We start from the raw sequence: 13218 nt of genomic DNA on the forward strand, positions 1-13218 counted from the left end.
CGTGGGCAGGACAGTGACCTTCTAAAATGTCCTGTTGTCATCTGGATCCTGTGATGTGTTGTACATGACAAAGAGAATTAAGGTTGCAGATGCAAGTAAGATTGTTAATTAGCCGACTTTTGAGATTAGGAGCTTATCCTGGATTATCTGGCCGGACTCAATCTAATTACATGAGTCCTTAAAAGTGGTAGAGGAGGCAGAAGAGAGAACCAGAGAAATGGCATTGTGAGAACTCAACACGCTCCTGCTGGCTTTGAAGACAGAATGAGGGGCCGAGAGCCAGTGGACAGCCCCCGGAAGCTGGAAAAGGTGGGAAACAGGGGCTCCCTAGAGCTTCCAGAAGGAATGCAGCTTTGCTGAAACCCTGATTTTAGTCTAGTGAGATCTGTGTCAGACTTCTTTTTTTGAGACAGAGTCTTGCTCTGTCACTCAAGCTCGAGTGCAGTGGCGCAATCTTGCCTCACTGCAACCTCCACCTCCTGGGTTCAAGCAATTCTCCTGCCTCAGCCTCCTAAGTAGCTGGGATTACAGGCATCCGCCACCATACTCGGCTAATTTTTTTTTGTATTATTATTATTTTTGTTTGAGATGGAGTCTCACTCTGATGCCCAGGCTGGAGTGCAGTGGCACAATCTTGGCTCACTGCAACCTCCGCCTCCCGGGCTCAAGCGATTCTCCTGCCTCAGCCTCCCGAGTAGCTAGGACTACAGGCATGCACCACCACACCCATTTAATTTTTGTATTTTTAGTAGAGATGGGGTTTTGCCATGTTGGCCAGGCTGGTCTTGAACTCCTGAGGTGATCCACCTGCCTTGGCCTCCCAAAGTGCTAGGATTACAGGCATGAGGCTTTTTTTTTTTTGTATTTTTTAGTACAAAAATACAAAACGGGGTTTCACCACATTGGCCAGGCTGGTTTCAAACTCCTGACCTCAAGTGATCCGCCTGCCTCAGCCTCCCAAAGTGCTAGGATTACAGGCATGAGCCACCATGCCCGGCTTGGTTCATCTTTAATATCAGCTATTTAAGAGGGTCTGAAGGGCTTTCTTTAAAGCTTTACTGCACAGGCCTAGAGTGAAGCATTTACCATGGTGTATGGCGCAGTCAAGGTTTGCTGCTGCTGCTGGTGGTAGTGCTGTCATCTAGCAGTGTGTCATGGTGCATCTTTGTTAGTAACCTTACCCTGACTTTGTTGTAATAATCTGTTGTTTTACTTCATTCTTTCTTAATTTATTTTTATTCCTCTTCTATTAATGTCTGTAACCTGCTTCAGTATTTATTAGAATAAGGCAGACCATAGGTTGGCTTGCTAGTCAGGGGACACGTGATTGCAAATAATAGAAACATAAACTAGCAAAAGTACAAGAAAATGGAAATGAACGTACATAGTTGAATACTCCAGAAATGAATTCAGGTGAAGCTGGATATGCTTTCTTCTGGGTTGGCATCAGGCTCCGCACACATAAGGGCAAAGATGGTCGCTAACAGGTTTATCTAATTTATGTAATTCTCTGAGTTACTAATTCGAGGAAAAAAATCGTGTAACTCCAGCAAAACCCCGGGGAAGACTCTGATGATAGGCCTGGGCTCCACAAACACCCATGAAGTGAAGAGTGGCCAGAGAACAGGAAACCTGATTCTCCAGTGAGAAGCAGAATAAGCAGGAGGCATTTTTCCCTCATTTTATAATACAAAGGCTTTGTTATACAGACTTTAATTATGTTTGTATACATAAACATATGCCGATATATATGTATACCTACATTCACAGTAAAGTCACTAGCTTTGGCTTTCTAAATGCTTCCAACACTGTCAGATGCTTCAGATGTGAAGGATTTGTTTATGCCTCTCTCAAACACTCACATTACCCTGAGTAATTAGGAATGGTTCCAGTGTTCACTAAGAATTACTGGGAAGTAGGAACACAGGCAATGTTAAGAGTTGGGTATATGACTGCTTATTTGACCTTTTAATTTAGGAGTAGTTTTATTGCTAATATATTAGGTATATACGATCTTTTTATTTAGTCTAAAATATAGTCTATATAAGTCTTATATAAGTCTAAAATAGTTTTAGACTTACAGAAAAGTTGCAAAAAATACCATAGGAAGTTAATGTCTGCCATTCATTCCACTTCCCCTAATGTTAACAACTCCTGTAACCATAGTAAAATTATCAAAACTAAGAAATTAACACTGGTGCAATGCTATTAACCACAAATCTTACTCATTTTTACCAATTTTCTTCCTAATGTTCTTTTTCTGTTTTAGGATCCGATCCAGTAGCCCACACTGCATTTAGTTATTGTGCTTTCTTCATCCTCCATCCTTCATCTGTGACAGTTCCTCAGTATTTTCTTGAGTTTCATGACTATTGTCATGGTAGTGAATTGTTTTATCTTGACATTTGATGAGTATTAATTGGTTATTTTGTAGATTACCTCTTAATTTGGATGTATCTGATGTTTTCTCATGATTAGATTGAGCTATACGTTTTTATGAGTACCACAGAAATAACGTCTCTTTCTTAGCACATCATACCTGGGGATAATATCTTTTACAGGTGATGTTATCCTTGATCACTTGGTTCAGGTGGCTTCTGCTGGGTTCCTGCACTATGAGGTTAATGGTTTTCCTTTGTAATTGAAGGAGCTCTTTGAGAGTACACAAATATGCTGCTCCTGAAACATTTGGTCACTGGTTCTAGTATTCGTCAAATCTTGGCTGAAACAGTTATTCTTGTGGTGTTTGCTTAATGATGATTTTGTGTGTCTCTCATCCCTTCTATATTTATTACTTGGAATTTTTCTGTAAGGAGGAGCCACACCTTGTCCCCTGTTTATTCAGTGTTTTATATCAGTATGCACTCGATGTTTATTTTGTTCTGTGCATTACAATAGTGTTCTTTTCTTACTTCGTTGCTCACATTATTCCAGCATTAGCCATTAGGAGCTTCTTCAGGTTGGGGTCTGTGTCCTTTTGAAAAACCCATTCTTTTTTAAGTACTTATTTTCTGGCATCACAGGATATTTTTGGCTCATCTTGTACATTCCCTGCCCCAGCACTGGACTCCACCACTTCAACAAGCTGTTTCCTTTTATTGGAGAATAGTATTTAGAAACGAAGACCTGGTCAGGAGGTTTGCTTGTTGCTGTTGGAGTTGGTCTTAGGCTCTCTCGGTAGATATAGCTGGGAAATATGTGCGTGTGTATTAATCCAAGCAAACAGACACACTTGTATTTTGTCCCTGTATTTACAGCTAGTCATCAGCACCATATATCTGTGTGTGTTCATACTGATACTTTGAATTTCTGTCCCTTATTTCTACCTTATACCAATAGTGAGAAAACTGGCTCACGTTATTCACAATTTATTTATGTATTTATTTGCTCAATCCTACTATACACGTAAAGTCATTACAGCGTTGCTAAACCATGGCCCTGTAAGAAACAGATTTACTAACTGGAGTACGTCATTTGTGTACAGTTCTTTTGTCTTTTGCTCTTTTGTCTAAATGTGCTTAGGTTATGTCTTTTATTCCTGATCCACCCAGGGTGGCTATGTTACACATTTGTAATATAGTCTCCTAGAGGTTAGGGGTTCCTTCAGTTTGTATGTCTGACATTTCATGTCCCGGTTTTCTGCAGTAGCTCTAGATGGACTTGTCTCTTGTTTGTCTCTATGGTATTGGGGTATTTTAAATTTTTCACGTCTAGAGTGTTAAGAGTTCGTCTTTCTGGAGATTGTTTCATATCACCCGTAGGCCTGTTCATCAGCCTCCCTCTTGGCTCCACGATTTTTCTCAGTCTGCCTTTGCTCACACTAAGCATGTGGCTGGCTGAGGGTAGTATAGGAGTGTGAGTTGTGTAGTGGGATTTGGTGGGAATTTTTTCCCTGTTACTCAGCTCCTTTGCAGTTGGAAAATTCTCCAAGTAATGCTGAGGACAGTTTTATATAGAATTTATTTTTCACTTCTTGTTTTTTGTTTGTTTTGTTTCTTGGGGGAATAGGGGAGATAGGCAACTTCTGTTCTCAGCTACTTGCAAGTGTGTTGGTTTTAACAGTGGGACTTCCTGCAGGACTTGAAAAATTGATAGTTGATGAACCTGAGTTCCCTGAGATACTGCTGTTTTTGTTAGTGTTTATCCAGCAATTGCACGATTTAAACAACTCACAGAACTAAGTTGTTATTGCTTATAAGCATGTTATCTTCAGAACCACTGATTCATTATTGATAATGATTGAAGTTCAGCCTTTAAATTGCAGGCCTGATAGTGAGGACACCAGTGGAGTCTTCCCCTTCATATCAGCAAGTTATTGAAAAACTATCTGTAGAATATTTGATGCTTTTTTCCTTCCAGTACTTAAAAACGTTCCATTGTATTCTGGTGGCATTATATCCCATGAGAACTCTTCTGTCACCCTTACCTGTGTTTTGTACATCAGCAGTCCCTAGCCTTTTTGGCACCAGGGACTGGTTTTGTGGAAGACAATTTTTCCATGGGGTGAGAGGGGGATGGTTTAGGGATGAAACGGTTCCACCTCAGATCATCATTCTCATAAGAAGTGCAACCTAGATCCCTTGCATGAACAGTTCACGGTAGGGTTAGATCAGCTACTGCTGATCTAACAAGATGCGGACCTCAGCTTCACTAGCTCACCCGCTGCTCACCTCCTGCTGTGAGGCCAGGTTCCTAACAGGCCATGATCTGGTACTCCTGTGGGGTTGGGGGACCCCTGCTATACGTAATGTCTTCTCTCTCTGGCTGCTTTTAAGGTTTTCTCTTTATTACTGGCTTTAGGCAATTTGATCGTGATGTGCTTTCACATATTTTTCTAAATGATTTTTGTGCTTGGAGTTTGGGGATGTTCTTGGCTCATGGGTTAATAGAAAATGTTCCACATAGTGGTTTTTCACATATTTCCCACCCATCTTCCTCCAGGGGCTCCAGTTACACCTTAGAGTTGCCACCTGGAGTTGCCTCATGGCTCTCTGATGCTTTGTTCTTTTATTGTTTTTAAGTTACGGGATGTAATAGCTACTTGGAAATCATTTGCTCCTGTTAGTTCTTGCTTTTAAGTTTTGTTAGGCAGCACCAGAATAGCCTTTGTAATTTTTACTGACTACAGAGAGGGACTTGCCCTTCTAATTATGCTCTGATGTTCTGTGTATTTCAAGATTTTTCCACTATGGTTGGTGGGAACTGGAACTATTCCCAGCTGGGTGTGGGCTCTTAGGCTCTTTTCCCTTGGGTAGTGTCCTTAGATGTGTGGGCTGAGACTCAAGTGGGACCCTCTGTGATCTCGCAAGCGCATTCTTTGCGCAGCTCTTTCCTCTCTGGTACTATGCCCTGCCAGCGTTAACTGCCTGGCTTCCCCAGACTCTCTTTGGGTTTCCTTTCTCCATCTGTGGTCTGCAAACTCCAGGCAGTGAGCAGTTGTAGCACTCACCTTATTTGTTTCCCTGCTCTCAGGGGTCCCTGCACTTCTTGTGGTCCACTGTGACAACTGTTGTTTCATACATTTTGTCCAGTTTTTTAGTTTAAGATGGGAAGGTGAGTCCAGTCCCTGTAACTTCATCTCGGCTGGAAGCAGGAATCTTATGTTAATAGTGAATTTTTAGCAGTGTTGACCAGGCTTTGATTGTATCTTTAGCCCTACTGTGTATGCAGTAAAGCACTTGGCCATTTTCTAATCTCTTCTATTGTTTAACCTAATGCCCCTCTAGATTGAGGTACCCTGGGAGAGGAATGATTTTCCATGCTACCTATGACCAATTAGAAATACAGATACATCAGACTACAACTTTTGAAGACGGGAAGCCCATAGTAGTTGCTAAGGAATGTCTTACTTAGACCCAAGGTACAGACAGGAAAATCATTAGGAGAGAACATGCCTCTAGGTGTGTGCCTTACTTCAGCATTCTCCAGAGAACTGTGAATTTCTAAAGCATGTGAACTTGAGAAATAGGCTTTGTCTTCTTAGGAAAATGTATCCTTTAGGGGGTGTTGAGAAAACAGCAGTGACAGGGGCCTCTGGCCTTGCCTCCTTGCAGTCAAGCTTCAAAGAGAAAACGTTGGGAAGAAAGACTCCTGCTGAGCCTGATGAAAGAGGAGTCCCAGTTGCCAACCAAAAACATGCAGCCAAAGTCCACAAGCTACAAGTAGAAAGGGTGGCTCAAGCCAGAGTCCCTGGATATGGAGGGCGAGTGATGGCTGCAGAAAGATGCAGGTTCTTCTCCCCCACTATGACTGGCCATCGCCTAGTGCAGGATGTACGGTGGCCCTGTCCCAGGGCTGTGCTGGCAGCCACCCTTCCCCACTAGCTGTGCTGCTCTCACATGGCACGGCCTCTGGCTGCCAGGCCTGTGCTCGGGCCTGCATTTCCCTTGTGCCCTTCTCTCCACCCAGCCCTCAGGACTGCCTGGGCTGCATTTTGTCCAGAATCCTTTGTCTCCTTACTTGCACTGCAGCTGAGGCGAGTGTCCCTTGTTCCGGGTGGCTCCTGTATTGTGGCGCTCATGTTATTGAGAGTCTTAGAGGTCACCCCCTAGATTCACCAATTGAAGGGCAGGGCTTGTCGATCTAACAGTGTCTTGCACATAGGGACACAAATGTCTGTTAAATGAAGAAAGTAGGGATGCCAGGCCACCCAATGGGGTGTATCTCCTAGGGTTCAAGAACAAGGGCTAATCAAGTCAAGAGAATGTGTGCCCTCCCCCACCATCTCACCCCTCACTCTCAGAACACTTGGGGCCCCTGCACAGGTGGTAGGCATGCTGGCCCTGAGTGCCCTCCCAGCCTGTGTTAGAAGAACCAGTGGATGACCTCGCTGTCAGCTGTCTCCCCTTCTCTGAGCTTACTGCAGGTGGCAGCAGCCTCTCAGCCACAGACTGTTCCCTTTCCTAGGAGAAAACGATGGTCACTCAGCAATGCTGTGCGCTTGCAGCTTCCACCACAAAAGAGACAGCTGTGGCCGCAGCACCAGGGTGGTGATTCTTCCCCCTCCAAGGGCAGTGGTGCATTCCTTAGCACAAGTATAAATTTACTGTTGCTAAGAGTTCTCGGAACAGGATAATACAAGAAGGAACCACTGCAAGTGAAATCCAGCCACCAGTAATGCCGAGAGGCCAGGCCTGTGCCTCCCAAAACCTGCTCCTCCGCAGGCTTCCCCGGCCCATCTCCAGAGCGCCCTCCTCTCACCACTTTACATAAACGAATGTACCCAAGATCCCCCATCAGTTTTCCATGCAGCTGCCAGAGTGCCACCAAAGCAAACCTCATCTCAAGACTCTGTGGCCAGGCCCTCACAACCTCCTGCCAGGCTCTCGCTACCTACCCATCAACAGCAAGACTCCCAGGCCATCTCAATCCCCCCAAAGAGCCCTGTTCCTCCAGCCCCACGGCTTCTGTTCACCTGCCGTGCTGTCCCCGCCTCTGCCCACCCACTCATCCTGCAGATCTGGAGCAGCATTCCAGGGCCTGGTAAGTGTGCGCCATTTTGGGTTACTACGGGTCTCGCCAGGCGCGGTGGCGAGTTTTGCCCCCCACGCTCCCCAGCGCCTGCACCTGGGCGGAGAGGTAGATAAGGCTGGGAGATCTTAGCCTTTTGCAAGGCAAACACCAGGCAGGAACGCCCAGAACCTCGGAGGAGGAGGAGGGGAAGATCCCCAGGTGGAGACCAAGGTGCCCCTCACGCTGAGTCGTCTAGGAGACCCTCCCTAGTTTAAAAAGTGTTTATTTGCTCGGAGAACATTTCAGGAGGCCTTCCTGGGACCCCAAGTGTGCCGCCCCCCGGGAGGGGCCTGGAGACGCCCGCGCGGCCCCCCTGCAAAGTTTTACCGGCCCTGGGCGCCCCCGGCCCTGGCACCCACGCGGGGAGCCGCAGTGGGCCGGGCCGCGCGGCCGCCGCCTCCCACCGCTCCCGCGCCCGCTCCCGCCCCCGGCGCGTCTCCTCCGGGCCCGCGCCGCGGCGGGCTCAGTCCTCAGCGGGGCGCGTGGCGAGCGGACTCGACTCGGCACCGCTGTGCACCATGGCCCGGGCCCTGTGCCGCCTCCCGCGGCGCGGCCTCTGGCTGCTCCTGGGTGAGTAGGTCCAGGGGTCCCGGCCGAGCTCCCTTCCCCTGGCCAGCCGGTGTCCTCTAGGGGAGAGGAGGGGAGCGGGTGGGAGCGGGTGGGAGCGGGTGGGGGCGGGCGCCGCGGGCGCACAGATCCGCTGCCCTTGAACGCGGGCCGCCCCGGTTCCAGGCGGGAGGCCCCAGGGCACAGGGGAGGCGGAGGGCGCGGACCGGTGTTGCGCTTCTCGCCGGGGAAGGGACGGCTTTGGGGACGTCGGAGAGCGGGCATTCTGGAAAGCGTGGGGTGAGTCAGCCCTGCACACTGGAGAACTAGTTTTCAGAAGGAAAAACAGGACGCGGGGTTCCCCAGCCCCGCACCTCGTTTCTCAGGCTGTGCGCCGCGGTGACTGCCAGCGCAGGCTCCCTTCCCTAGGCCGTCCCGCGTTGCAAAACCTGCAGACGGGCACCTTGCAGAAGACGCAGTGTTCGGGAATCAGAACCACAGCCGGTTTGTATGGAAATTAGTCAACACTGACAATCTGTCGCCTGCAGCAGTTGCTTGTTTGCAAATCACGTCTTTTGCAGAAATGAGGCCAGCCCTTTTCGGGACACTTCCATCGCTTTTTTTCTTTTTTCTTTTGGTTTGCTTGTTAACTTGGCACTTTTGGCTAATAGAAATTTAAAGAAGGACGGGTCCCTTGGTGAAGTGGTGGAACACGTTTGGCTTTCCACTTGGAGGGAGAAGTGGAGATTAGCGGCAGCCTCATGGCCACAGGAACTGGCCACACACTCGGCAAGAAACGGTGCTGTTCACTTCCCTTGTCTGTAATGTGTTCCTAAAATGCTAACTCAAGCCCCTTCTAAACCGCTTTGGCTATTGCATTATTCCGTGTATTTAGCTACCTTTTAACGGAAACTGTGAATAGGTTACTGGCGTGGGAGAACCCAGTGTCCCTGGGAAGGCCGGAGCAGTTGTTTCTGGTATGTGTGGCCTTTCCCCGGAAACAGTGATGTTGGTCAGAGGCACCTGCCGCACAAGACCTCTTTGGCGCTGGCACTGGGCAAGCAGGGACCACCGGCGCTGTTGTAGCTGGGGGAGTGGTTCGTGGCCCAGCGAGGAGAGGGGCCAGGGCTTCTTGGGAGCCATGGATTTCTGTTCCCTATTTGTAAACCTCTCCAAGGGGTGGCAGATCTGCATAGAATCCTCAGAGGCCGATATAATATAATCTGAAAGCGGATCTTGCCACTTTAGAGTTTTGGCTGAAGTTACGTGGAAAGCAGAATCTCGCAGTAATTTTATTCTCTCCATTTGGCTTGACATGGCCTTCACTGTTTTCATTTACTAAGAAACAAACATTTCTTTGTTAGCAAGGCAGAGAGCTGGGTTGTGGAATATTTTTTACATAAATAACCAAATAAATAAACGTTCTTTACTAGTGTCCAGAGGCTGAACCCTCTAAAGCTTGTGTAAATAAAACACTATGTCACGATCACATATAAAGACCTTCCTTGTTTACCGAGAAAACTATTCATGTTCTGCCGAAAGTCCAAAGTCCTGTAATTTTAACGTTATTTTGAGTGGCCTGGCTAATGTTATCTCTTGGAAGAACAAACAAAACTTTATGAGGTTATCAGTAAATTAATGTCATTGGAGCCCAGCTGTAATTAGTAGAATTACTGAGCACAGGCTGTTTCCTTCCCAAGCTGTAGCACTAGCCAGGTCTCCTTGGTGATGAAGATTTTGCTACCAAGAATGGCAATGTGGAATTTTTTTAAGTACTCTAGTTTACAGGTTTAAGAACTTATCTGTGACAATTTTACAATCAAGCTATTTGTCTTAGGTAGTTATTAAGAATCTCATAATCCGGCCAGGCATGGTGACTCACGCCTGTAATCCCAGCACTTTGGGAGGCTGAGGTGGGTGAATCGCCTGAGGTGAGGAATTCAAGACCAGCCTGGCCAACATGGTGAAACCCCGTCTCTACTAAAAATACAAAAAAAATTAGGCAGGCATGGTGGCAGGCACCTATAATCCCGGCTACTTGGGAGGCTGAGGCAGGAGAATCGCTTGAACTCAGAAGGCAGAGGTTGCAGTGAGCTGAGATCATGCCACTGCACTCCAGCCTGGGTGATAAGAGTGAAACTCCGTCTCAAAAAAAAAAAAAACTTAGGATCCATATATAGTTCTTTTCCCTCTGAGCATCCTGTGTACTCTTCTGTTTACTGGAGACTCTACATGCATTCTGAAAAGTTTGTGTATAGACACCGAAAAGCTGTTCGTTAACCAGGAAAGAAGGATGCGTTAGAAGCCCCTGGTTTTTCGAGTCCATCTTCACTCAGGGAATGCTGGCTGGTGCTGTCACACATGAACTCAGTCACCTGTCCTAGGAAACGCATGCCTTCCTTGGCTGTCACGTGGGAGCCAGGGGTTTTTTTAATGGCTGCAACATTAATTGAAATGTATGACTTTATATAAATACAAGTAGAATTGGAATGACAGGGACATCACAGGAAATGCTATGTGACTGCTTCAGATTGCCATGCGGTTTTAAATCTGGACACAGTTCTCATGCCAAAGTCCAAATCTGAAGGATTCTTATTTGTTAATCAACTCAGTGTGTTTGTTTACCCTCTCTGTGTGTCTAGCTGCAGGAAGAAATTTCTGGATTTTTGTCTTCCTTCCACAGGCGCATGCCTGTCAGCGTGCTTATTACCAGTCCGAGGCCAGGGCTGTTGAGAAACATTTATATCCACAGTGCAAATGGTAGATTCAGCTCCGGGAAATGTTTTAGGTGGAATCTTTAGTTAAGGCTAGTTGGAAAAGTCTGTCCTGATTTTTTTCCCCAGAATGCGCCCATTTCATAGCTTCTAATCAGTTACAACTGGCGTCTGGCTGACTGTGTGATGCAGGTGCCATGTGTAGTGTGAATTCCAGCGGAAATGCTGAGCCCAGAGAGTGAAGCCCCTCGGGCTTGCCTGCCAGTGCCCCTGCCAGTGCCCCCACCCCCAACTCAGGCCTAGAACCCCTCTTTCCTGACGGTCTTTGTGGTATGGTGGGCTGGCCCTCAGTGGTCTCTGAGCCAGGCCTGGCCATCCAGATGGTCCCAGGGAGGAGACTGGCCGCAGGCTGGACAGTCAGTGTTCTGCTGGAACCACGGGGAAAAGCTGCGTCTTTCCTCCAGGCTGGATCTGAGTGGGGCTGCCACAGTCTACCCTGTGAGCCATGGGGGAGTACCTGTCCATGACATAGAGCACTCCTGAAGCCTTTTGAGCCCCTAGATCGAGCTCATGGGGTACACATTTCCATCATGTGACCCATAACGTTTGAGATGGGTGTCTGTCCCTTGCAGGGACGGCAGGCTCAGGGGGCTCCGAGAATGGCGTACCTGGGGGACTGTGGGAATCCTGCCCAAGAGCCTCCTCCTCCACTGGGGACCCAGGGAGGCCTCCTGAAAGAAGAGGTGCTGCAGCCAGGAAGACAGTGGGAGCTGGGAAGGGGACAGGGGAGCCCGGGCTACAGTGGCCCTGGTGGCTCCAGCACTTGCTGGACCATGTGCCCACTGCCCCAGCCCACCAGTTTCTTGGTGGCAAATGAAGAGGCAGAGACGGTGCTGCCAGGGCACTGTTCAGTTCCCAGCCTGCCATACCCCCTGCCTACCTCTGACACATCCCACAGCAGACATATGAAGCCCTGGAGGGATGTCCTTGTCCCCAGTCCTCTCTGCTCCAGAACAGGAGGACTCTCAGCTGGGTGATGTTCCTGGAGGACCTGTTTCTCCTTAGTGAGGAGGATGCGTCAACACGGCCACCATAGGAGGGCTCCCAGCCCAAACAAAATCGTACTCACTTCACCGAATGATGTTATTCTGTTCAGGAAAAATATTTTTTTCCTAAGATGGTTTATTTCAGTAATTTCTGGGGCATCCGAAAGGCATCACTTTAACCATCTTTTAAATCACGGCTTCTGGGTGGCTTTGTTGGAGCAGGGTCCAGGGGGACACACTAGCCAGATGTGGCAGGAGTGCAGGGCTATGGGCCTGAGTCACAGGCCCCCCGACTCTACGTTCTCAGCTCTCTCGGTGACTCCTCCCCGTGCTCCGAGAGTGCTTCACTCCCTCCCATGTGCAGTCACATGGTGGATTCTCTGGGACCGAGAACCAGAATCCCAAAACCCCAGGCCCCGGCTGTCCACTGTGCCCTCCGCCAGGGTCAGCACCACCTCCACCCCTCACGGGGACAACTGCCCAGCCTCCCAGAACCCCCACCCCACCCACCACCCCAGGGACAGGGGGTCTTCCTCTGTGCCCCCAGCAGACCCTCAGGGTACGTTAGTGTCACCCCCACACATGCCATGTTCAGGCCCCCAGGCCTTGGCTCCGGGGAAGCAGCTCCTGAATTAGCTGAGAGTTCTGGGAAACCACGGGGGCAGGAGGGGAGGCAGAGTGACCTGGCCCGTGGCCTGGGCCAGCTCACTCCAGGGGGTGGGGTACAGCTTGCCCAGGAAGCCCTGCCCCCTGTTCTCCCGGACCACGTATCCCCACACGAGTCTCAGGAAGGACTGTCTTGAGTCTGACACCACCTGGGAGGAGAAAAGTCAGTGATTTGCCCAACCATGCGCGTGTTTGCTTCGTAAGGCCTGCCGCTGTCAGGTACCCTGGCCCCAGGCCGGGAGGGGAAGAAGCCTAGAAAGCATTGCCTCTTCAATGGACACTTGGTGACTGACACCCGGGGTGGCTCTCTCTGCAGGGATTTTCTTGCCTCTGGAGGAGACAGTTGTGAGAGGGAAGCGGGGGAGGTGGATGGATGAGGGAATGCCGGGAAAGCGCTGCACCGTTTCTCCTGGAAACACCCATCTGCCACCTCACACACGGGACACACAGGGTCAGGACTCTCACACACGTGGGACACCCAGGGTCAGGACTCGGAGGGGGCAAAGGACAGGGGTGCAGAGCAGCCTGCTACAGTAGGGTGTCCTACACAACCCAGGGCAGCTCCCCCAGAGGATGATCCCACACCAAATGTCCATAGTGCCAGGGTGGGGCAGCCCTGCTGCATGTCAACCATGTAGACATGTGGTGCTACTTAAATGCAGCAGGAAATAAACAGGAGACCACGGAGCACAGCCCTGAGGAGCAGCGGCAGCACAGTCCAGAGGGCAGAGGGC

At 49.0% G+C, this 13218-nt stretch overlaps 1 protein-coding gene across 5 annotated transcripts in view, besides 2 other annotated features; it reads left to right on the forward strand.

Annotated features, from left to right (window-relative positions):
- Positions 5790-6578: an enhancer, noted in NCBI's record as "H3K4me1 hESC enhancer chr2:238766078-238766866 (GRCh37/hg19 assembly coordinates)". NCBI's record gives its function as "activates a minimal SCP1, AML or CMV promoter by ChIP-STARR-seq in naive H9 embryonic stem cells {active_cell/tissue: H9 hESC(naive)}" and the evidence as "EXISTENCE:reporter gene assay evidence [ECO:0000049][PMID:30033119]".
- Positions 6579-7365: an enhancer, noted in NCBI's record as "H3K4me1 hESC enhancer chr2:238766867-238767653 (GRCh37/hg19 assembly coordinates)". NCBI's record gives its function as "activates a minimal SCP1, AML or CMV promoter by ChIP-STARR-seq in primed H9 embryonic stem cells {active_cell/tissue: H9 hESC(primed)}" and the evidence as "EXISTENCE:reporter gene assay evidence [ECO:0000049][PMID:30033119]".
- The window catches only part of RAMP1 (receptor activity modifying protein 1), a 53227-nt gene continuing 47243 nt past the window's right edge, over positions 7235-13218 (forward strand). For 2 of the 5 annotated variants that reach the window (NM_001308353.2, NM_005855.4), the window contains exon 1: positions 7978-8082. Coding sequence is in view for 1 of the 5 variants with exons in the window: in NM_005855.4 (NP_005846.1) it covers positions 8031-8082 (52 nt within the window). In the remaining 4 variants the exon portion in view is untranslated. Of the gene's footprint in view, positions 7483-7977; positions 8083-8251; positions 8563-13218 lie in introns of those variants that run through there. The other 3 variants (XM_017003153.3, XM_017003152.3, XM_017003156.3) reach the window with 3 other exon arrangements.

This window comes from Homo sapiens, chromosome 2 (assembly GCF_000001405.40).
Source record: "Homo sapiens chromosome 2, GRCh38.p14 Primary Assembly".
In the NCBI taxonomy this organism is placed as follows: domain Eukaryota; kingdom Metazoa; phylum Chordata; class Mammalia; order Primates; family Hominidae; genus Homo; species Homo sapiens.